Source organism: Homo sapiens, chromosome 17 (genome assembly GCF_000001405.40).
Source record: "Homo sapiens chromosome 17, GRCh38.p14 Primary Assembly".
Lineage (NCBI taxonomy): Eukaryota > Metazoa > Chordata > Mammalia > Primates > Hominidae > Homo > Homo sapiens.
The window spans coordinates 66830981-66856633 of NC_000017.11; the positions used below are offsets into that span (position 1 = coordinate 66830981).

The 25653-nt window shown below is 49.1% G+C and overlaps 1 protein-coding gene across 2 annotated transcripts in view; it reads left to right on the forward strand.

Moving 5' to 3' along the window:
* Nucleotides 1-4136: 4136 nt before the first annotated feature.
* Nucleotides 4137-25653, forward strand: part of CACNG5 (calcium voltage-gated channel auxiliary subunit gamma 5) — a 59635-nt gene continuing 38118 nt past the window's right edge. For both annotated transcript variants that reach the window (NM_145811.3, NM_001371476.1), the window contains exon 1: nucleotides 4137-4270. The gene's annotated coding sequence lies outside the window, so the exon portion shown is untranslated. The remainder of the gene's footprint in view (nucleotides 4271-25653) is intronic.

Consider the following 25653-nt stretch of genomic DNA (forward strand, 5'->3'; position numbering starts at 1 on the left):
GGATTAATATTATTATTATTAGCCAATAAATATTATTATTTATAGGGGCAACTCCACAGTGAGCTCAATTCTTCTTGCTCTGACCTTGACCAGGTTTTTCTGCCTACACCCCCTCCCAACTTCATGGGGCCCTCTTCCCTCTCCCCCAGCCTCCTGACATACACACGTATGCACACTCTGCACATTTTCAGATACTGCTCATCTCAAACTTGACCTGGATCTGCTGAGAAGCTCTGGTCTCCTCCATCCCCAACACGATTGAAGGTGCCTTGATCGGTCTCGTATTGATCAGTCTGGTATTGATCGTCCCACATCAGTGTTGATGACCACTTAGATCTGGAGTTTGGAATTCCATCTCTGCTCTACACTGGAAGCAACATCTGTTTGCTCAAATAAACCAGTCCGTGTGTACTAGAAGATACATACAGCTCATGCTATGTGGCTGCCAGAGGTCAGTAAGGAATCTCTACTCCTCGTCATCACGTGGGAGTTCAGAGTGACAGAGTGCCATCTTGACAACTGTCTCCACAATCCCAAAGGCAGAGAGACGAGCATGGCAAAGCACTCAGTGATTCCGAAAGCTTCCACCTGGAAGTGACACATGTCACCACCTCCACCCCCAAGGGACCAGAAGGAGGCTGCCTGGCTGGAAGACATTTCCTCCTCCTAGACATAACTGGGCCTCTTCCTTGTCATCCACACAGGCACATTCTGCAAATAATGTGCACATGGATGTGTGTTTCTCATTAAGATCTAATGAGTGAAGCCATCAGATTTGTTCAGACTGGCCCAGGATTCAGAGAGAGAGCTGAGGTTTTATGAAACTCCCCTACCAATGGGGAATCCATGAATTATTAAAAGGATAGAAAAAGAGACCCAGGGTGGAAGGGCTGCTCCATTATTCATCAGGCCTGGAGTCCCCAAATCCCCAAGCACAGCTGTTGGCTTTTACACCTACAGCATTTTCCCATTATGTCTACAGTCAGCCTTTCAAACACGCCGTATTGGCAGCCTCCGAGCAGTGCTCCCGCCCACGTCACCCACTGCCTGTCTCATTATCTGAACCAGTCCGCGGCCCAACCGTGGGACACAGATGTTGGTGTTGCTCACCCACCTTCACGTCCCAGGCTCCCTGATCACAGACCTGAGGGCCTGAGGGCCAAGCTCCTTACAAGAACTGGGAGCCTCTCCCACTCTGGCCCCAGTTGTCTCTTCAGTTTTGTCTCCCTCCATTTCCCATGCCCACCCTACCTCAGACCATTTGCCTTTCCCTGAATGTAATTTCATATTCTCAGGCCTTCGTCTAGGATGACCCCTTTGCCTGAAACTCCCTTCCCAGCCCTCTGTCTACCTGGTGAATTTCTATTTATCATTTACGGCCAGATCAGAGGAAGGGAAACTAACTTTTGCTGAGAGCCCCCAATGTGTCAGACCCTTGTGCAAACATGATCTCGCTTTCGCAAACCAGTGAGGTTGGCGTTATCACCAGCATCAGAGACATAATTTTATGGAGTCCGGTGCAACAATTAAGATGTAGCCCCTTGTTGAAAACTGATTAAGAATTTCGAGATGGCAAAATCAGATCATCAAACCAGGCACAGAGCTTTCCTAAGAGCAAGGCTTTGAGAACCATGAAGCCAGCTTTGGTTATCGAGAAGTGAACGAAAGCTCAGAGAGGTTAAGTAACTTGTCCAAGGTCACACAGCTAGTTGGGGCAGAGCCACGTTGAAGACCTCATTCCATCAGATCCAAATTGCTGTTTTTCAACCACCCATGTTGTGGGGACTTCCCCACTTGCCTTGGGCAGAATGACTGGGGAGGAGGCTTTGAGCACCCCTGGACACTATCTTCCTTTTTTTTTTTTTTTTTTTTTTTTTGAGATGGAGTCTTGCTCTGTCACCCAGGCTGGAGTGCAGTGGCGCAATCTCGGCTCACTGCAAGCTCTGCCTCCCAGGTTCATGCCATTCTCCTGCCTCAGCCTCCCGAGTAGCTGGGACTACAGGCGCCTGCCACCATGCCTGACTAATTTTTTTGTGTGTTTTTTAGTAGAGATGGGGTTTCACCATGTTAGCCAGGGTGGTCTTGATCTCCCGACCTCATGATCTGCCTGCCTTGGCCTCCCTAAGTGCTGGGATCACAGGCATGAGCCACCGCGCCCGGCCACTAGCTTCCCTTTTGAAGGGTGTTTTCTGCAACCAATTGATCTGTTATTTCTCCATAAGCATTGCAAGATGATCCAGAGAATAGGGTCACACAGATCAAAAAGGGGGCCTATCTAGGGGGCAAGTGGACATTCTGGGATTGTTCAATTAACCCACAAGGGAGGACATTCCCTCTTCCACCCACCCCTTTCCTCACACCCAACACCAGGCAGTCTGCTCACCCCCACTCCATACACTTACTCTTCAATGGCTGGAGGACATGGCGACGGCCCGCAGAGGTGACCCACAGGGCATGGATCCCAGGCCAGCCTCTCTGGCCTTTGCTGGGAAAATGACCTGCAGACTTTGCAAAAGGCACATCTCCTGGGTGCTTTGCCCGTTTTCATCTTTTCATTTCATTGATCCAGCCACCTCTGAGGTTTTCTTTGGTGGTTTTCTCCTTGACAGCTTTAGTCTTGGGGAGATGTGTCCAACTTCCAGTCATTCATTCAGCAAATACAATGTGCCTACTATGCGTCAGACTTTCTCCTTTTAAGGGGCTCCCAGCATAGTTAGGGAGATTGACAGTAAATTCATCATTGCCATACTGGTGAGAGCTGTGCAAGAGGCTCCTGGGCCCAGAGACGAAGAAGAAGAAATCCATTCTTGGATTTCCATCAGGGTATTCTGGGGGATAGAGAAGAACACTCTTGGGGTAGGTGGGAAAAGGGAGAAAAAGCGGAAAACTGCATAGGCCTAAAATGCTGTGAATAGACACGTGGTGTATCCTTTCCAAAAACCTTCAGTTGTCCCAACTCCACCTGGCCCCATTCACATGTGACAAAGTCCTCCCATGTCAGGAGACCTCAGCAACATAGATGCTTCTATAAAAGTTTCTGCCCTACAGTTTTAAACTAATATGTTCACTGCTGATGTCTCATTATTTAGCAACCAACTTTGCCCCCAAATATTTCCACATGCCACATCTTTGACCCCCTCTTGGTCTGCAGGGATTTTACAGGCCTTTGAGGGGAAGCTGCTGGTCTGTGAGCATCTGCACAAGTGTGCCGGACAAAGATATCGGTCAGGCTGCCATTTCAAAGCAATAAAAGATATGTGGCTATGCAGGCCAGGAAGAGTTAGCCCTTGGGTTCCCCTTCCAACCTGGCTGACCACACTGGCTCCAGCTGCCACTTTCAAATTAGTCATAGATTAACAAACATCTATTGAGCACCTATTGGGTGTCCAGGACCCAGAGACTAAAGGAGACATAGAACCTAAGAAAGGAAGAAATGTTTTATTGTTAGTTGCCACCATTTATTGGACATATATTACCATTTTACTGTTAAGAGGGACAAACACTTTGCTTAAGGCCACACAGTACAAAAGCAGAGTGGGGCTTTAAAGGCTCAGATTCTGCACTTAGACAGGCCTGAGCTGCAGTCCTGGCTCTGCCATTTTCCAGCTGTGTGTCCTCAGACTCCTCACTTAAGCGCCCTGTGCCTCAGTCTTCTCATCTGTAAAATGGGATTCGTGTGAGAATTAAATGACTTAATACATGTGAAGCTCATTGAACGCTTACACTAGTAAGTGCTCAATAAATACTAGCTGGCATTGTTGTTCTATCACCATCATCATCATCATCATCATCATCATCATCCTTATTTAAAAGCAGCAGCAACGGCAGAGGCTGCAGCCCCAGCTGCTGGAATTTGAAGGTGAGTCTGACTCCAGGCAGGGTCTCCCAGCCCTATGCGGACTCTGAAAGCCTCTCCTCTCCCACGCCGGCCCCCAACTCTTCACCTGCCACCCCCACAAGGGTGCTCACCCCAGAGGTGCTCACCTCCCGGGCTGGGAGACCGCATCTGACCGGTCCCAAACCCCGCCTGCAGCTGGCAGCGCCGGGGTGGGGAGGCCCCGCCCTCGGCCCCGCCCCCTGCCCGCCCCTCCCTCTCGGGGTCCGGGGCGCGAGCTGCGGCGGCGGCGGCCACGGTCATTGGCGCCGAGCGGTTCCGGCTGACTGGACGGGGCGGGCGTCCCGGGCAGCCTAGCGCGGTACCTCCCGCCCCGCGCGCCCAGCCGGCGAGGGACATTGGACCAGGGTCGGGGGTCGCGGCCGCTCCAGCGAGGTAAGAGCCGGGAAGACCGGGAGAGACCACCTCTTCCATCCTGGGGGGGTCCCTGGGGGACGGTCTCCCACCGGTGCTGGGCCGCGGCGCCGGGCTGCGCCCCCATGACAGCCCAGCCAGGGGCAGGGGCTGGAGAGCCCTAGCGATCGCGCACCCTGGAAGGGGCAGTGTGGTGGGGAGCGCGGGCGTGTGTATGCGCGTGTGCGTGTGTCTGTCTGTCCATCTGTCTGTCCCAAGGATGTATCGGGGGAGATGATGACGCCCCCTCTTTGCAGTCGCTTCTAGGCAATTTACCCATGCCAAAGCTGAGGGCAGACTTTTCCACGACGGACTTGAATGGGGCTGGCAGATTATTATCCGGATAATGCAGGAAGGGATAAGCCCACCACCACCTGTTGAGCTGGGCTGTCGGCCTATGCGGGTCCAACTCCCCGCTTATCACAGCCTGCAGGGTGGCCTCATTTCTCCAGCTCGTGGGACCCGGGGCTTCCTTCTCCCGCCTGTGAGAAGGGTTGATAGGAGGAGGTGTCCCTGCCAGGAGCCACTGAGCAGAGATGGACTCGCGGGGGTGATCAGGGTGGTGCTATGGGGACCCCACCGCAGGTGCTGGGCGTGAGGTGTCAACCACCCAGGCACACCCCAAATTTGGATTTCCCCAATCACTCCAAAACCTCTCATTGTGATTCCCCGATCTTTGCTCTCATCCTAATTTGGCAGTTGATGAAGATGCAGCTCGTTAAAAATGTTAAAGTGAAATCAAATTATCACTTCCTAGGACTGAAAATGATTTGAGAAATAATTCCGGGAGCCTGGCTGGGGAGGAAAGAAGCTCATATTCTGACTAGCTTCTCCAGGGCTGCCCCGGGGCTGCCTCCGGTACCTGCCAGGCACGCCGGTGGTTAAGGAAGCCCTTGTTCCCAGAAAGGAAGGGATTCACCCACTTTGCACTGGATTATCAGTGACTGGGTTAGAGCAGGACCCAGGACAGGATCCCCAAGTGGGAGCTGTCTCAGTTTGACAGATGTCACATACAAGCTGTCACCGAGGCTGGCTTCTGCTCCACATCCATCCTGGGGAACACAAGATGGGGCTTCCCCTCCCAGCCACCTCACACCCATTCCCCTCATTTCCACAAACCTGAAGTCTTGATCAATTAACAGCCAGGATTGCCTGGGTGTGGGTGTGGGACCTTGATTGGCTCTGATGTCCTGGATTCAGAGTATCTCAGGACCACAGGCATCTCAGTGGCAGGTTGGTGGCACCTCTTTGCAGACCCTGTAGCCAGCCCCTCATGCCGAAGTCTCCTGCCTGCCTGAGAAGCCCTAGATCTGCCTCACTTCTCTGCTAACGCAGCCCCTGGAGGTAGCTGGGGGACACCTCATCTCAGGGCCAGGTCCCCAGGGTGCCTAACAGGGTGAAATCTGTGCTTGTGCCTGAGACCTCCCCACCCCCAAACCTCCTCTCTCTTGTCATGTGGAAGGCAGTGGATGTGCTGAGGGGCTGGGTAGTCCAGTTCAACGGAAGATAGAGGTGGCCCTGCTGTGGCTGGGGCTGTTGGTGATGTGAGAACCCCAGCATCCTGGCTGGCTGCACCCCAGGCCCCACAAGCCAACAGCACACTTGAGGGAGCTCAGCCATTCTCAGGCTTGTCAGCTGGGGCTCTGTGACTTGGTGCAGGGGGAGATTGGCTGAATTGTTCACGCTTGTTTGGAAGAGACTGGCCTTAGGTTGTTGTGGAAAACGTCGGCTCCAAACCCTGCTAGGTTCCTGACTGTGTGACACTGGCCAACTTACAGAATGCTTGGAGGCTCAGCCTCCTCACCTGTAAGATGGGTCTGGCAGGGGGTTTTGAGAATCAAGTAAGGTCATGAATGAATGACAGTGTCCATTTTACTGGAGGTGGTTCTGGGCTGGTGTTGTGGCCTCTGCTTTCTCTAGCCCCCAGCTTGACTCTCTGACATTGGACTTGAGGGAAGTGGCTGTGTAGCTAGGATCCCTCATGCCATCCTTAGAGGTGGGGGAAGAGGTGTGAATTTTAGTAGCAGGGTAGCTCACAGATTGAGCTTGGATTCCCAAAAAGTGAGGATGGAGGATGTAACCCAGTCTCCAGCAAACTCTGCCTCTGCAGGGAGCTGGCACTTCTGTCCCCAGCTTCTGCCCCGAGCCATTGGTGTCCTGGGCCCACCCCACACAGCCTTCTGGCTCACTGACACTTGGCACATGCCTGCTCTGTCATCTTCTTCTGAGTTTTGGGCCAGTCCTACTCCCTGGCAGAATTGGGACTAGCTACTTAAGACTTCAGGGGCACCAGGACAACCCCTGCCCACCAAATATCATCCTGTTCCCCCAAACCTAGCCATCTGATGCTTAATATCCCACCATTAGAGACTTATGACTGTGGTTCATAGTCTCATGTCAGTTACTAATCCTTAACATCAATGACTTGTTGAGAAGCTTTCAGGGCCTTGGAGAGGAGAGAAAGAGAAGGCAGAACAGAGAGGAGGGAAAGAGAAGCTTGGGGAGTGTAGGAGAGAGAACATTGTACTTTGCCAGCCTCATAGTTCTGCAGAGACAGGCCCAGCTGCTAAGCTCAAGAAGGCCCCAGGGAGAAGGAGAGGCTTGGGGCGAGGGGGAAGGGGCAGGCCTCAGGCAGAGAAAGTTGTGAATATCAAGTGGGAATTCTCGGTGTGAATACAGGGTGGGTGCCAGGCCTGTGTCTGGGTTGGGCTCCGGCAGCCTGTTCGAGAGGTGAAATAGTCCCTGATGCAAAAGCATCGTTTCTTTTCATGCTGCTCTACCCGCTGCTCAGAACACACCACGTGGGGTTTGGTGTGTTCTATGGGTGGTGCCCTCTGCATTAGAAGAGTCTGGCCTGGTCACGCTGGCTGTTTAAAATTGTCAATGATAATTTGTTAGGTCAGCAAAATGACAGAGTATACCCTGCCTGGCTGTGCCTCCCTGAAAATTCCCCTGTCACTCCCCTCGCCCTTTCTTGAAAGAAGCAAAAATGGCATAATTCACTCAGACCCATGAGTTTCCTGGGCTGAGAGTGGCCTGGGGGGAGCAGAGTTCGGCTGGGATCACCCTGAAAAGGCCTGTGGAGGTGATTCCTTGCTCAGTTGTGCACAAGGTCCTGAGTTTTCCAGTGTGGGAGCAAGCAGAAGGGGGGACAGAGGGGTGAGAATTGAGAGTCCCTGCTCACGGCAGCCCATGGCCAGGCTCCTTGTGGGGAGGAGAAGGCTGGCATCACCTGGGCGCCCAGGGGGCTTGATGATGTGGACTGGTCCTGGCTGGTGAAGCCCCAGCAATGAGCAGTTTACTGCCTTTTCTGGATGCTCCAGGGGGCAGAGCCTGGACCAAAAGAAAGATGTTTTAAGTCAACAGTATGACCTATTGGCCATGAGCACCCAAGGGACCATCCTTAAGGATGATTCTCGACCACATCTATTCTTAAATAATAATAACGATGACAACAATGATGATAGCAGCTCCTCAGTCTTCCATAATGAGCATTTATTGAGCACCTGCTATGCATGTGCTGGCTGCTGTTCTAAGTAATGGGGATACGACTGGAGTATTATTGGCATTTGGGGCTGCCTTGTTCTTCTGTTTGGTGCAGGGGAGGCTGTCCTGGGCAGTGTAGGATGCTCTGTAACAGTGCTGGTCTCTATCCATGAGATGCCAGTAGCACCCCAGTCCCTCACCCATTCTTTTTTTTTTTTTTTTTTTGAGACAGAGTCTCACTCTGTCACCCAGGCTGGAGTGCAGTGGTGCAATCCTGGCTCACTGCAACCTCCGCCTCCCGGGTTCAAGCGAACCTCCTGCCTCAGCCTCCTGAGTAGCTGGGATCACAGGCATGTGTCACCACGCCCAGCTAATTTTTATATTTTTAGTAGAGATGGGGTTTTCCCATGTTGGCCAAGATGTTCTCAATCTCCTGAACTTGTGATCCACCCGCCTCGGCTTCCCAAAGTGCTGGGATTACAGGCGTGAGCCACCATGGCTGGCCACCCCCACCCATTCTGACAACCAAAAATGTCTCCAGAGATTGCCAAAAATCCCCTGGGAGGCAAAGTAGTCTGCTGTTGAGAACCACTGGGGATACAGCTAGAAAGAAAGACAAAAATCAATCCTGTTTCTTAGGAGCAAGCATTCCACAGAGCGAAATGAACAATACATATGCTGTAGGAGTAGAAAATGGAGGAGGCTGCGTGGTGAAGATGCTAGAAAGGTCAAGCAGGGTCAGGGTTTAGAGAGCACAGGTGAGGCAGGGTTGCCATTTTCGAAAGGAGCCCCAGGAAGGGCCTCACTGCACAGGTGACATTTATCAGAGATGGGAAGGTGGGGAGAGAGCGAGAGGGGGAGGTCTGGGAAAGAGCTTCCAAGCAGCTGCAGGAAGAGAAAATGGAGGAACATGGAGGGGGGTCAGTGAGTCTGGGGGCTGGGCAGTGTGGGAGCAGCTGGGTGGGCTCTGCTGGGCCCTGCATCACCGAGGGCTGTGAGCTTTCTCTGTGAGTAGAAAGGGGAGGTCAGTGAGCATTCACTACCTGCTAGGCACAAACGCCGCTCCAGGGCTGTTCCGCGCACGTGCACTGAAGTCCTGTCGGGTAAGTGTTATTCCTTTTCTTGATTGCTCAACTGAGAAAAGCAAGGCCCAGAAGGGTTAAGGAATTCAGGCAGCGCTGTTGGGGCATGAGTATGGGCAGCCCACTCTCTACTGTCCACACTAAAATGTGGACTTCGGAGCCACACAGAACTGAGTTCAAATCCCAGCACAGTCTCTTACTATCCGGGTGGCCTTAGACGAGCCACAGAATCTCTCTGGCCCTCAGTTTTCTCTGGCGACCGGTGATCTCCGCTTTGCGGGGCTTTTGTTGGGAGTGCTGTCCTCAGTGCCCCCTCACTGGCCCCCTCTCTGTGCACCCGTGCCAGAGAGAAGCCAGAGGGCAGGTGGCCCCCTCCCAATCCGCCCAGCCACGGGCATGTGCTCTGGACTTGTGTATCTATTCACCGAGCTGCAGCAATGCCATCTGCTGAGGTCAAAGCCAATATCCCAGGAGGTCAGGGGAAGTTAAGCACTCCCTCTCCCAGAGCTGAGGAGGAGGTCTGGCCCTTTCAGAGTCAGCATCTCCCGGGATCTTCAGGGCCAGTCTGCTGGGTTCCCTCTGATGATGCTGCCCCGGCTTCCCCAGGAAGCTAAGCCTGAACCCAAAGTTAAGGATCATGGTTGAGCAGGGGCAGCCAGCACAGGCTCCATTAGCAGGATTCTGCAGCCTCAGAACCCCTAAGACTTAAATCCAGAGAGCCTCAATGAACCCATCTGGCAGGTTCACATTATTGCAGAGGCACATGTCAGAGGCAGGTTCATCACTGGAAATGTGGGTTTTAAAAATACCCCAGAGTTGAAAAACGAGAAGCAGCTGCTGGTATCCACAGACACCTCCCCAATAACTCTCACTGTCAAACCCCTCTGCTCCTCCTGTGTGGGGATGTCTTCCTTGGGGATGGACCGCAGTGACAGCGAGACCCCAGGAAGGAAGTTTCCTGGGACTGTCGGGCACACCGGTGTGTTGCTGTGTGCTCCAGATGTGTGAGGTCCCTCTCAGGAGGTGTGTGTGTTTGCCCTGTTTGATCCCTGAGTAAGTGGCTATCGGAGGTGGTGTGTCCTCCAGAGCCTGTGGCTTCTGATGATGATGGGATGTCACAGCCATATGACTTTGCTGGGCAGGCCCTGTGAACCTCAAATATCTGAGACAGGTCTCAGTTAATTTAGGAAGTTGATTTTGCCAAGGATGAGGACGTGTGCCAGTGACAGCCTCAGGAGGTTCTGACGACATGTGCCCAAGGTGGTTGGGGGCACAGCTTGGTTTTATATGTTTCAGGGAGACATGAGACACCAATCAATATATGTAAGATGTACATTGGTTCTGTCCAGAAAGGCAGGACAAATTGGAGCATGGAGGGGGCTTCCAGGTCACAGGTAGGTGAGAGACAGATGGTCACATTCATTTGAGTTTCTGATTGGCCGTTCCAAAAGAGGCAATCAGATATGCATCTATCTCAGTGAGCAGAGGGATGACATTGAATAGAATGGGAGGCAAGTTTGCCTTAAGCAGTTCCCAGCTTGACTTTTCCCTTTAGCTTAGTGATTTGGGGCCCCCAAGATTTATTTTCCTTTCCCAGCCCCATCCAGGAGAACATCCTCAAACGCCCACTGCTGGAATTGGCTCCTTCCACTCACCTGAAGATAACTTCCAGCAGGTGGCAGCCCTTTCTGTACCTGTCCAAAGGAGCATCCTACCCAGCTGTCTCCCACTGCCCTAGGCAAGGAGAGCCGGGCAGGACAGCAGAGATGCCTCCTGCCCAGGAATCTTCTCAGGGGGCTGCCACAGGAGGAGCCCTGGCTTCAGGATGGGCAACAGGAGACCGGGGTTTGAGGCCCAGTGACTCAGTGCGTGAGCTTAGACAAGTCCCCACACTCCTCTGGGCCTCTGCTTTCCATCTGTAAAAGGACGGGGTGGGAGAGGATTCATCTTCTCCACAATCTATTTCTGGAACGTCTGCTCTGTGTCAAGGGTCAGGTGTGTTTTATGGAATTAAACTGTCCCTCCCTTAGAGGGTTTCCAGTCCAGAACCTCTGAAGGTCCTCTAGCACCAGAGCTCAAGGGACTGTGATTATTTGAAAATCAAGCTGGACAGAGGCACCACTGAGCAGATGGAGCTGTGGAGCCAAGCAAGGAATCAGAGTATCTTCCATCACACAAAAAGTAAAGGCCAGAAGAGGGTGCCACTTTCCCAGTGAGGTTTAGGGGGGCTTCAACTCCCGGCTCTCTCCGGCCCCACTGCCCACCATGCCCTCACCTTTACTGCCAAATGGGCTGGGCTGGTTGTCTGCAGAGGAGGCCTGTGAAATATAAAAGTGATCCCACGGTGGGGGAGTGGCTTATCAGCCTCTACCAGGCAAGGCAAGGTGGTGAGAAGGTGGCATCCTGGCCTGGGAGGGTTTATATCTGGCCTGTACCACCCACTGCCCCAGGACCTTAACCAAGTTCCCTGCTGGCTCTTGCTCAGTCTTCTCCATGGGTAAGACAGATAATGAGAGCACTGTCAGGAGGGTTTGTGGTTGTTGCAGAAAAAGGAAACTTTACAGATGAGAAGCCCAAGGCTCAGAGAGGTTGAGCCACTGCCCACAGCTACCCACTTAATAAGTGGCAGTGCTGAGATTTGAACCCAGGCCTCTTGGAAGTCAAGCCTGTAGGCTCCTTCTGTTCAGTGTAGCTCAAGAAAAAGGCGGAGTTGATTAGAGGCCTTAGGTGTGTCCTGGAACTCAAGGATGGGCCTCACAGTCTGATTTCATGAGAACCCGGAATCTGGAGTTAAAGAGAGGCAGGACCCACAGCTCTTGCAGCCTCTCTAACACCAGGGCCAGCAGACCTAGTTTCCTCTGCAGGCCTCAGGCCATAAGAGCCCCAGGCAGCCTGATGGACCTTAAAAATAGACGAGCACTTCCTAAAAGGAAGCGTCTGATGGGGCTGGCTACGTTGGGTGTTCACCTTTGGCCAAGCAGCTGGAACCAGGTGATGTGCCTACAAGGACCACTCCTAGGGTAGAGGGGTCAGTTCTTGGAGAAAGAGCAGGGACTGTGGGGAGCAAACAGGCCAGTGGGCAAGTGGGACAGATGGCCTATGAGTTGGCTGAGTAATTTTCTAAAGCACTGTCTTCAGTCCTGCACGCCAGCAACTGGAAAGAGGCTGATGTGTTAGGACATTTCCGAAAGATGGTGGCCAATAATAACTCCCACCACTTTGGAAGCATCTAGCTTGTACTTGACATGTATTGCACTATTTAATGGAATCCCCTGCCATAATCTTGGTTGAGGGTATTATGATTCCCATTTTACAGATGAGGAAACTGAGGTTCAGTAGCTTGCCTACAATCCCATGGTTGATAAGCGGCAAAGCCAGGATTTGAACCTAGGCCCTTCTGATGCTAATGGGGGCAAGCTTTCACTGTGCCACTCTGAAGTCCAGCACCTAAAGAAGTAAAGGCACCAAACAAAGGAGGGGAAAAGCTTGGAAGGCAAAGGGGGACAGGACATTTCAAGAGCTACAGTTTGGACGGAAGTTGCTCATGCTTCAGTGACCCTTGTTGCTTTTGGTTTTTATTTTCTGGTTATTGAAGTAATTTCTGTTTCTGGCAGAATGTTTGGGAAATGAGACCTATCTCCGTAATCCCAGAGAGTAAATCTGAATTTGTAGAAAATGACCTTACCAGGAGGTAGATGTGGTGCAGTCTTGGGCAAACTTCTGCTCACATAGGGTTGGCTGATGGGGAGTTTCCCATCTTCCCCTGTGTTTAAACCCAGGCTACCTGAATCACATTGGAGCAAGGATGCTGCAGGGGGGTGGTCCTGTTCCAGGAGTTGGGACTTCCATGAGCCGTTCGTGGGTGGAGACAGCCTGCTCCCAACTCAAAGGCAGCTGGCATAGTAGTGAAGGTCAGGTAGAGGGTGCTGCTCCTATCTGGAAAGAAGCCAGCTGTCAGCCTGGTCCTGGGTGGGGGGAGGCAGGAACCACTGGAATAAGCCAGTGTTGCAATTGCTCTCACACTGGGTGCTCTCAAGCAAAAGAGTACAAGCTGCTCCTGGAATTTGTCTCTGTGCAGTTTGGCATGGGGGACGCAGCTGGGAAGAAAGAGGCCCTTGACTCGGGGGGAGAGAGCCTGGGCTGGGGGGGTTGTCCATACTCTCTGGGGTCTGGAGTGATGAACCAGACAGCAGATCTGTGCTGTCCCTTCCAGAGCCAGATGCTTGCAAGAGCATGGGTCACCGGTGTTCTCTGATAGGAGGTAGCAGGATGATAGAGTAATGCTAGGAGCTAATACTCGTTGGGTGCTTATCACTGTCAAAGTCTTTATAAGCATCCTGTTGTCTAATCCTTATGAGGTACACCTTATCATCATGTGTGTTTTCAGATCAGGCATCCAGCTCTGCTGTAAGCATTAGCTTGGGAATTCAAACCTGTGCTATTAATCACTAGTCCTGGGCCCCTGACATATGCACTGTGCAGTGGACAAAGGGAATGTGGGATTTGGAGCTCAACTGTTCCATGTGGCCTTAGGTGAGTCATTTTACCTCTTTGAGCCTCAGCTTCCTCAATTCTAAAATGAGAAGGAGAGCAGCTACTATATAAGGTTGACATGATGATAAAATTATAAAGGAGAAGACAGATGTCATACAAGAGGTCCTCGATATACTGATAGCCACTCACTTTGTCTTCCTGGTGCTGCAGACACAGAGTTCATCATATCCTCTCCATATTGTCTGAATGAGGCTCAGCTGAAGTTTGTGGCTGGGAAGAGCAAAGTTAACAGGTCCTTATAGACCACAGTATCAGTGGTCTCGGCCCCACAGCCATTGTGTGCAAGGGAATGGCTATGATGATGACAAGTTCCTACTTTGGATTTCCCATACTGAGTGCTCTACTGAATGTCTACGAGGTCACTATCATGAAACACATTTTATAGGTGAAGAAACTGAGGCACAGACAGGTTAAGTAACTCATCCAAAGTCACCAAGCTCATAGGTCCAGGATTTGAACCTCAGGAGCCCCATGTTCTTTCTGAACCCTTGGAATTTGTGAAAGGCGAATGTAACCAAAATGTCTAGCATAGGGTCTGACTCTTCCAAAATTCTCTTCTCTTCATTTAAAACAAAAACTATTCCCCTAAAGACACATGCACATGTATGTTTATTGCAGCACTATTTACAATAGCAAAGACTTGGAACCAACCCAAATGCCTATCAATGATAGACTGGATAAAGAAAATGTGGCACATATACACCATGGAATATTATGCAGCCATAAAAAGAATGAGTTCATGTCCTTTGCGGGGACATGGATGAAGCTGGAAAACATCATTCTCAGCAAACTAACACGGGAACAGAAAACCAAACACCGCATGTTCTCACTCATAAGCGGGAGTTGAACAATGAGAACACATGGACGTAGGGAGGGGAATATCACACACAGGGACCTGTTAGGGGGGTGGTGGGCAAAGGGAAGGACAATGTTGGGACAACTACCTAATGCATATGGGGCTTAAACCTAGATGATGGGTTGATAGGTGTAGCAAACCACCATGGCACACGTATACCTATGTAACAAACCTGCACATTCTGCACATGTGTCCCAGAACTTAAAGTAAAATTTAAAAAAAAAAAACAAAAAACTATCCTATATACAGGAACCAGGTGACGGAATGGACTAGCTCAAAGATCAGCTTCTCCTGGAAGCTTTGCCAGATGTTCCCCAATTAGGGGTCCTTGTCTGTGCTCCCGTGGCATCCCCAGCACACCTCCATCAGCCAACTTGCCCCCTGCACTGCCAACATCGGTGCCTTCCCAGCTACCCCACTAGACCAGGGGATCACCAAAGGGATATTACTACCTGCTTGTTGAATAGCATTCATGCCATGGTCACTGAAATCAATGCCCTGTGTCTCCTTTGCCCTTTGGAGATCTGCCTTGGCCCAAGAAGATTATGTCCCCCAGTGCTAATCACAGACCTCCATGGAGGTCAGTTATTAAGACCTTCAAGGCAAGTACCATCCCTGGGGTCTTGTCTCCATCCACTCTGGGAGGCAGGGAGCCACCTGACCCACAATGTGCAGTTGTAAGACCTTAAGGACCTGACCTCCTGCCTCTTGGGGCTCCAAGACCAGGTGATGTGTGAAAGGGCGTGGCCAACAGAGGCATGTTCTCTAACATGAGGGGTAGCTGAGAGAGGCTGGTGTTTACTGAGCCGTTACTTCATGGCCCACTCTGTGCCAAGCACTTCACTTCCAGTCTCCTTTAATATCCTCCCCCAGCAACCTCCCTGACCCTCATAATTGCTTATATGCATACACTTTGGGTATGCGTTTTTTAAATCGTGGTGAATCATATTCTTTGATATAAATAGATGCAGTCTTTAGGGGTTTTTATTGTGGCACAATACATATAACATAAAATCTACCATGTTAACCATTTTAAAGTGTGTGATTCAGTGGCATTTGATACATTCAAATGTTGTGCAACTCTCAGCATTCTCTAGTTTCAGAATATTTTCATCACCCGTGAAGCAGTCACTTCCATTCCCTCTTTTCCCAAGGCCCTGGCAACCTCTAATCTGCTTTCTGTCCCTCTAGATTTGCCTTTTATGGACACATCACATAAATGGAATTATAATCATACAACAAGTGGCCCCTGTGTCTGGCTTCTTTCACTTCACATAATGTTTTCAAGGTTCATTCATGTTGCAGCATGCGTCCGTGCTTCCTTCCATTTTATGGCTGGATAATATTCCATTTTGTGGATGTACCACAGTGTGTCCATTCATGAAATGGAATATTATCTCGCCATAAAATGCATGCTACCACACGAATGGAAATTTGGGTTATTTCCGTCTTTGGACTTATGAATAATGCTGTGATGAACATTCATGTACAAGTATTTGTCTGAACACCTGCTTTCAATTCTCTTGGGTATATCCCTAGGAGTGGGGTTACTGGATCATCCGGTAACTCTGTGTGCAACATACTGAGGCGCCACCAAACTCCTTTCCACAGTGGCTGCATCACTTTACGCTCCCACCTGCAAAGTATGAGGGTTCCAATTTCTCCACATCCTCGCCAAAACTTACAATTTTCCTGAAAACCTTTCGAAGTGTGGTTACCCATGTTTTACAGATACACACGTGGAGGCACTGAGCAGTGAAGCAAACTTGTCAAAAGCTACACACCTGCTTGGTGGCAGAGCCAGAGTTTGTGCTCAGGGACTGTGCACACTTAGCTACCAACCTGTTCACTTCATGGCTCTTGTGAGGCTGAGAAGTCAGAGGCTTGAGGCTTGAAGGAGCTCCATTCTGTTCTTGGCTCCTGTCTGTGTACCTGGCACCCTCTGTCTCCCAGAGTGTCCCTTGGACTTCTGTACCTGGACACAACTTGCCCTCTAGAGGCCCCACTCATGGGCAGTAAGTGTTGGTGTGCCAGAAAGCAACAGCTTCTGTATTAGTCCCTTTTCATACTGCTGTGAAGAAATACCTGAGGCTGGATAATTTATAAAGAAAAAGAGATTTAATGGACTCAGAGTTCCACATAGCTGGGGAGCCCTCACAATCATGGTAGAAGGCGAAGGAGGAGCAAAAGCACATCTTACATGGCAGCAGGCAAGAGAGTGTGTGCAGGGGAACTGCCCTTTATAAAACCATCAGATCTCGTGAGACTTACTATCACGAGAACGGCACGGGGAAAAACCCACCCCCATGACTCAACTACCTCCCCCTGGTCCCTCCCATGACACATAGGGATTATGGGAGCTACAATTCAAGACGAGATTTGGGTGGGGACACAGCCAAACCATATCACCTTCCCCCTAGGGTGATATATCCAGACACCCCTCACCCACCTTCCCCCAGTCATGGCCCTAGGAGACAGGAGACTTCCTATGTAAATCTCACTTGGTCTCAAAATAGGTATCTCTTCCCAGGTGGGTGGCCCTCCCTTGCACCTCTTCATTGCAGAGGTGAAGATGACTGGGCCAACCTCACCTTGCTCTGCAGAAGGAGCATACCAGGTGCTCTGAGGCCAGCAGATGCACAGCACCAAGGCCAGCTCCCTCCTTCCAGGGCACAAGGCATGTCTCTGATGGAGCCCAGACCCTTGGCCGGGGTAGGCTGTGAGTGATGGGGTCAGGTGGGCCCCCACTGGCTTCCCAAAAAGAGTGTTGTTTCCTGGAGAAGGGTGGGATTTGCTCTGTGCATGGAAAATGTCTTTCTCACCCTTCATGTCGGGACAACCTCGTTGCTCCCACCCACCTTCAACTCCAGCTCCACCTGAGACTGCCGGTAGCAGGGGTCTTGATCTTTTTTCTGAATCTGAACCTGACAGCCCAGCCCTCCGTGACTGGTTGCTGCCCACTCTGAATCCTTCCTGAGGGACGTTGCTCCATTTCTGGGTATCCCTGTATTCTCCCCTCATTCCAATCCCACAGGAAACTTCCAGAAGTTCCAAATACCAAGGAAGCATTCCCAGGTGAGAAGATGGAGGGCTCCATAGGTGACTGAAGTTTCAGGGACAGCACACCGTTGAATGTCACCCCATCAAATGGGGGCTGCAGGGCCAAGGCCAGAACCCGGCTTAATCAGCAGTGGGGACAGTCCCAGGTATGGGCTGGGCCCTGCACACGGTCACCTCATATTCCCTACCACATCCCTGAAACAACACTGGGACTATCCTCACTGAGGACAAACCTCTACAGATTCAGACTAAAGTGTTACTGGCTGATGGGACCATTTGCACCACTTGGATTTCTGCTCAGTTTTGAAGGCGTTTGAGTCCGAGTTGGGTAGGAGAATTTTACCTTGGCAGGGGAGACGAATTTGAGGTCCTGGTAGTGGCCCTGCTCCCCTCCTTGGACCTTCTCCCCCAGCCCCTACCCCAGCTGGTGACCCAAGTTCAGACCCTGCTGAGCAGACCCCAGCGCTGGATGCAAGGAGAAGCCAGGACGTCTGACCTTGACCTTGGGATTAACAGTGTTTTACCCAGTGCTTTCCTATGGGGCTGTGACCTCCTTGGCTCCTTCGAGTAAGCCTAGGAAGATGGCATTATGGGTGACACAGACGCTGAGAGGGGTGTCCTCCCCAGGAAGGCCAGGGCAGGACCTGAACTTTGTGCTTTCTGGAGTGCAATCAGATGAATAGGCTGCCGCCGTGTGCATTGATTGAGTGCTTGTTGTCAGCCCTAGAGCCGGGAGGCCATGGCTGCCCATTAAGGGAGTACCGCGGGGTTCACCCAGCTTCAAGATCAATTCATGTCAAAACTGCAGCCAACATTTTCCCCATCTGCCTCTGCGGAGGGAAATAAACCAGGGGAGGCAGAATACAGAGACATCATTCCCGGTGATCAATTTCCTCCACCCCCTCTTCCCTCCGGATGGGAACGGCCGTCTCCATCCTGATGGATGCATTGTTGTGGGGAGGGTGAGGAACACTCATCCTCTGAGGCACCCGGGGTTGGGGGCAGGGGTGGGGGGAGCCGCACTGGGACGGGAGGGGCAGAGGAGGAGGAGGCCAGCAGGCCCGATGGAGCCAGCCCAGGAAGGCAGGGCAGGAACGCAGAAGGCAGCAGTGTTCCCACCCCGGGAGGGCAGATCCAGCAGTGGGGTGGTGGCCAGGAGCCCCTCACTCAGGGTGCCCAACCCTGAACCTTGGGATTACACTTCCTGGCTGAGTGGCCTTGGGCTGTGTTCTGGGATCTGCCTGGGGAATGCACCCTACCTCTGCAGGCTGAATGGCTGAACACAGGTGGGGGACCACATCCCAGAAGGCACAAAGTTCAGGTCCTGCCCTAGCCTCCCTGGGCAGGACACCCCTCTCAGCCTTCGTGTTCTCACAGGTGAGACGGATCACGCCACCCACAATGTCATCTTCCTAGGCTTGATGGAAGGAGCCACGGAGGTCACAACCCCATAGGAAAGCATTGGGTAAAACACTGTGAATCCCAGGGTCAAGGTCAGGCAATGGAGGCGCACACACCTCTGTGACGTATCCTTTCTCCCTCTTGCCTGATGATTCTGCCGTTGCCTTTCCAAGCTCCTGGGTGTGTGATCTTTTTGCGGTCAAGTGGTGAAAAGATACAGTTTAGATCACTGTGAAGGTCTAGAAATTAAATAATTAAGGAAGAAGAATTAAAATCCCCTGGTGCTTCAGGAGGTGGGTCCCGGTACAACTGCCAGTCAATCCAGCCTGGAGCCAAGTTCAGCAGATCACAAAGGGGTCAGGAGAGGTGAGAAAGCCCCTGCAGCCAGGCTGCCCCTTGGCTCTCAAAAGCAGGCTGCAAGTGTACTCCACCCCAGCCTGTCTTCCTGCCCTGCATTCTGCAACCCTTCTGTGTCTTCCCTTGAAAGACTTCTCCCCATCCCTGCTCTTTTGGCCTCAGACTGAAATGGACTGGGGGAGGGGGTCTGAGACCCCATTAATGGCCTGTTGAGCTCCCTGTGACTTGGGCATTTGCAGACAGAGGTCAGTTGTCCATTAAACGATGGAACTGAGCACTCCACTTAGCAGTGTATATGGGACACAGTTAAATAATGAAACAAAAATAGAACATTGCAAAAGCCTGGGGCAGGCTGGCTTGTGCCCCAGGAAGAAGCAGAGAAAGCCATCCCAGGGAGAGGGGAGGAAATTCACTGTTGGCCTCCCTCTTCCATGAAATGCTCTGGTTTAAAGTATATTTTTTTTTTACATATAGGTTATCTTTTATTGATTTTTAAAATTAAAGTTCACATATATATATACATACACAAATACATACACACACACACACACACACACAATGCAGTTGGAAAAATAATTTGTGCTCATTGCAGCACACTGGGAAATGCAGAAGAATAGAAAGAGGCAGGTTTTCCTCCTCTCCTCCATCCATAATGTGGGGTTGGGGGTGTTAGAGCTTTCCAATACCACCCCTAGGAAAGGGAGGGGGATGAAAAATATGTACTGAATTTGAGAGTTCTAGTTTTGGCAACAGAGTACCAACTGTCAGCACTTCAGAAGGTTTTAAAATACATCATTGACTTATAAGAGAGAAGGAAATCCCCAGGGAACTGAAACTCAAAGCCTTGAGCATGTGAACTAATACTAAGGAGAACCAGGGGGTACTGGATCCAGATATGTGCCATCATAGCTCAAGTCTGGAATTTTAATGCCTACCCATGGACTGTAAAACGTGGTCTTGGGCCCCCGCAAGGCCAGAAGTTCGCACTGAGACTCCCCCTCCATGAAGGGGAGGCTAAAATTTGCCAACTACCAGCCCAAAAAATTGCCAGGACATTTAGATCTGCCCAGATTCTCTAGGAAGGTGGAGGAGGGTCTCCTCCAAAAAAAACAAAGACCGAAGAATGAGCTGCCCACAGGTACAGAATCTAAGTTTCTAACGCCCCCCAGGGGGAGAAATCCTGAGCTAAGAATTTAATGTAAAATCAGATCCTGGATTGATGGAACTTCTAGCTCACCCAGCTGAATCAAATCCAAAACCACTTTCCAGAGACTCTTCCAGGACCCAGAGTACATAGGATTCCCATGGGGATGGTTGAGGGGAAGCCTTGCTGAAGATGAGCTCACAATAAAAATTACAGACCACATGAGAGCATGGTTTAACCTTGAGGCAACTTAGTACAGACAGCAAATGGGGAAATTAGCATTTCAAAAACATGGTTGTAGAACAGTGTGGAAAAGTCTATAAAATAAATCCAATGTGTTTAAAACAACAAGGAGGAGTAGAAACCATATTAAAATAACAGAGCAGATTTCTAATCAGCAACAATGAAATAAAGATGAACAACAAAATCTAGAGCTTGTTGTTTGTAAGAGCTGAATAAAATTGCCCAAACTGAGGAAATACCGGAAAGGGAAAAAGAGAGAGAAAACACAAACAATATTGGGAACGAGAAAAAGACCAAAATGATATGTGGGATAATCATTATTTAACACCTAAGAGAATATCATGAAAGAGTTTATGCAAATATGGGTGACTTTCTGGGAAGTCACTCAAAAAGAAATAGAAAACCTAAATAGATTGTAGCCATTAACACAATTGATAATGGTTAATCTTAGGTCTTGATCCAAGTGGATTCAGGGATACTTGGATAGCTGATAAAGCATTGTTTCCAGGTGTGCCATGAGGGCGTTTTGGCAGGAGATTGGCATGTGAGTTGGATCGAGTAGGAAAGATCCACTCTCAGTGTGGATGGGCACCATCTAATCGGCTGGGGCCTGGATAGAACAAAAAGGCAGGGGACAGGCAAATTTGCTTTCTTTCCCCTGGAGGTGGGACACCACCTTTCTTCTGCCCTTGGACATCAGAACTTCAGGCTTTCTGGTCTTCGGACTCTGAGACTTGCACCAGCAGCCTCCCAGGTTCTCAGGCCTTTGACCTCAGAATGAGAGTAGCGCTGTAGGTCTTCCCTGGTTCTGAGGCTTTCAGAGTTGGGCTGAGCCACAGTGCTGTTATACCTGAGTCCACAGCTTGCAGGCGGCCTGTTGTGGGAATTCTTAGTCTCCATAATCATGTGAGCCAATTCCGGCAGCAAATCCCCTCTCATATATGTATATATCACCTCCCATTTCTCTCTCTCTGGAGAACCCTAATAGAAAATTGAAGCAGAATTAAAATATACCCACAAAAAGAAACAGGCCCACATGGTTTTACTTGGCAAGTTTTACCAAACCTTTAAGAAACTGAAAATTGCTGTTTTATGCAAACTTATTTAGAAAGTGAATATCACTTTTAAAAAGGTATAATTAGTATATAATGAAATGTATCACTTCTAGGTATACACTTTGATAAATGTGTAATCATGATAATATAGAACATTTCAATCACCTCGAAAAAGTATCTTGTGCCTCTTTGCAGCTAATGCCCTGCCCTCTGCTGATCTGCTTTCTCTTCCTATAGTTTTGGCTCTTCTACAAGTTCATATAAAGGAAATCATACAATATGTAGTCTTTTCTGTCTGAACTCTTGCCTGCCTGCCTTCTTCCCTTCGCTTCCCTTTTCCCTCCCTCCCTCCCTTCCTTCCTCTCTCTTTCTCTCTCTTTTTCTCTTTCTCTCTTCTCTCTCTTCTTTCTCTCTTCTCTTTCTCTCTTGTCTTTCTCTCTTCTCCTCCTCTCCTTCTCTCCTCCTTCTCTCTTCTCCTTCTCTCTTCTCTTTCTCTCTTCTCTTCTCTTCTCTTCTCACCATCTTGCCTAGGCTGGTGTCAAACTCCTGGGCTGAAGCAATCCTCTCACCCTGGCTTCCCAAAGTGCTGGGATTACAGGTGTGAGCAACCATGCCCAGCTGTGTCTGGACTCTCATTTGGCCTAATGCTTTCAAGATATCACCCATGTAGTTGTATACATGAGTAGTTTATTCCTTTGTATTGCGGAGTAGTATTCTATATACCACAGTTTGTTTATCTATTCACCAGTTTTGGACACTGGGGTTGTTTCTAGTTTGGGACTATATGAATCAAGCTGTACTCGGGTGTAAGTCTTTATGCAACCACAAGTTTTCATTTTTCTAGGAGTTCCACCTAGGAGTAGAATTTCTGGTTGTGTGGCAAGAGCATGTTTGACTTTACAAAAAGCTGCAAAACTGCTTTCCAAAGCAGTTGTACCATTTTGCATTTCTACCAGCAACATATGAGAGCTGCAGTTTCTCCAAACCTTCTCCAATATTTAGTATGGCCAATCTTTTTAATTTTAGCCATTCTAGTATGTGCGTAATGGTATCTCATTGTGGTTCAACTGAAACTTTGATGATGAAACTAAACAGATTAAGAGTATATATGTAAGACAACAAAAGCAAGCTATGTCCCAGTAATGCATGGGTTGTTTAACATTACAAAATCTATAAATATAATTGAAATAAGCACATTATTTCAATAAATGCAGAAAAACATATGGTAAAAATCAATATAATTATAAAACAAACAAAAACAAAAACAAAACCTCTTTGCAAACAGAGAACTTCCTTACCCTGATAAGCTGTATTTTCAACAAATATCATATGTAACGGTAAAATGTTAGAATCATTCTCTTTCAAATTAGACAAGAATATCACTATCATCACTTTTATGTCATCGAGTCCCTAAGTGCACCAAGACAAGAAAAAAATGAGGTATCAGAATTAGAATGAAAAACTACAAAACTGTCAATATTCACAGGCTATATGCTCATCCTCATAGAAAATCCAAAGGAACATTATGCAGCAAAGTTACTAGATGCAAGACCAACATATGTAAATCAATAATAGTACAATACATTTAATTTAAATTTAAATTTAAGAATGTCTGAAAAGTTAGCATTAAAAAAGTGAAAAGGCCGGGTGCGGTGGCTCACGCCTGTAATCTCAGCACTTTGGGAGGCCGAGGCGGGTGGATCACAAGGTCAGGAGATCGAGACCATCCTGGCTAACATGGTGAAACCCCGTCTCTACTAAAAATACAAAAATTAGCCGGGCATGGTGGCGGGCACCTGTAGTCCCAGTTACTTGGGAGGCTGAGGCAGGAGAATGGCGTGAACCTGGGAGGCAGAGTGCAGTGAGCCGAGATCGCGCCACTGCACTCCAGCCTGGGTGACAGAGCCAGACTCCAACTCAAAAAAAAAAAATAGTGAAAAGATTGGGAGGCTGAGGTGGGTGGATCACTTGAGGTCAGGAGTTCGAGACCAGCCTGGCCAACATGGTGAAACCCCATCTCTACTAAAAACACAAAAAATTAGCCAGGCATGGTGGTGGGCGCCTGTAATCCTAGCTACTCAGGAGGCTGAGGCAGGAGAATTGCTTGAATCTGGGAGGCAGAGGTTGCAGTGAGCCAAGATCGCGCCACTGCACTCCAGCCTGGGAAACAAGAGCAAGACTCTGTCTCAAAAAAAAGAAAGAAAAAAGAAAAGAAAAACTGTAGACTGTGCAGAACGTTTCAGCACATACATATGGCAAAATATTAATATCCACAACACCTCAAGAACTCCTATAGATGAATAAGAAAGAAGATGAAGAATCCAATAGAAAAAAAAATGGGAAAAAGACATGAACAGGCATTTCACAGAAAAGGGAAGAGAAAAATAGCCAAACATAAAAAGATACCCCATATCACCGGCAATCATAGAAATGCCAGTTGAGATGACAATGGAATATCATTTGATTCTCACTGTGATTGATAAAATTTAAGATATGTGACAATACCAAATGTTGGTGAGGATATGAAGGCCTGAGAATTCTTACATACTGCAGGTGGTAGAACTACATTGAAAAACAATTGGCGTTGCCTAGCAGAATAAAGCCCATTTCACCCCTTAAACACCCCCCAATACAGGGATCATGTTATTGCCACCGTTTAATATCTTTACTGAATGAGACTCAGAAAGCTCAAGTGTCTTGTCAGAGTTCACATAAGCTGCAATGTTCCCGATTCTTTTCTTTTTTCTACTCTCTTAACAGGCAGCGATTCTCTGAGCGGCTTTGCGGCAGGAATGGGAACCCTAAATCTGCCCTTAATTGGCCCCAGGCCCGGGGCCTCTGTCCTGGCTGTGCCTTCAGGCTCTTCAGGTCTCTGGGCCGCACCACCATGTTCAACCGACAGGGGGCGACCTCTTCCCTGGTTGGGCATTGCCCCTTAGCTCCAGGAAGACAGCTCCAGGAAACTCCTTAATTTTAAAAAGAGGAATGATCATTATGTCATTAAATTAAAAAGTTGTGCATATGTATTTTTTTTTGAGACAGAGTCTCACCCTGTCACCCAGGCTGGAGTGCAGTGTTGCGATCTCGGTTCACTGCAACCTCTGCCTCCAGAGTTCAAGTGATTCTCCTGCCTCAGGCTCGGACCACGCCTGGCTAATTTTTGCACTTTTAGTAGAGACGGGGTTTCACCATGTTGGTCAGGCTGGTCTTGAACTCCTGGCCTCAGGTGATCTGCCCGCCTTGGCCTCCCAAAGTGCTGGGATTACAGGCGTGAGCCACCGCACCCGGCCATGCATATGTATTTAAAAAAATCAAGGAAAAGAAACTGAAGTAGAAAGGATAGACACATTCATCCACAATCCTATTATCAAAGTAACTATTATTAATATTTTTACACTCATCATCCCACATTTTAAAAGATTCTTTTTTAGGAATTAGCAAACAAACTATTGATGCTTTGTATCCCAACATTTTGTTGTTGTTGTCGTTTAACATTACCTTGCCACATTTTCCGTCAATGACTACATAATAGTCCCTTGAGTGGGTAAACCATAGTTCCTATAACTCTTCTTTGCAGAGAGGCATGTTGGTGGCTTTGAGCACTGTGCTATTATCAACAACAGTGAATCAACATTTTTGTGTATTTTGTACTTGTGTTTATATTTTTTAGTAGCAATTCCCAGAAGTAGAATCACTGGAACCAAGAGAGATGAAAATGCTTAACGCTCAACCAAATTGCTTTCCAAAAGAGTGAAATACTTTTATGCTCCTGCCAGCAGATAATGGAAGTTATTGTTTCAGAGGTGAAATTTTTTAAATAATTAAACTTTTGATTTTGAGATACTGTAGATTCACATGCAGTTGTTGGAAATATACTGAGAGACTCAATGTAGTTTTTTACCCAGTTTCACCCAATGGCAACATCTTGCAAAATTATAGTACAAAGGGATATCCTGGTAACCAAGATGCTGACATTGATATAGTCAAGGATATAGAAAATTTCCAACATAACAAGGATCCCTCGTGTTGCCCCCCCGCCTTTTTTTTTTTTTTGAGACAGAGTCTCGCTCTGTCGCCCAGGCTGGAGTGCAATGGCGCTATCTCGGCTCACTGCAATCTCCGCCGCC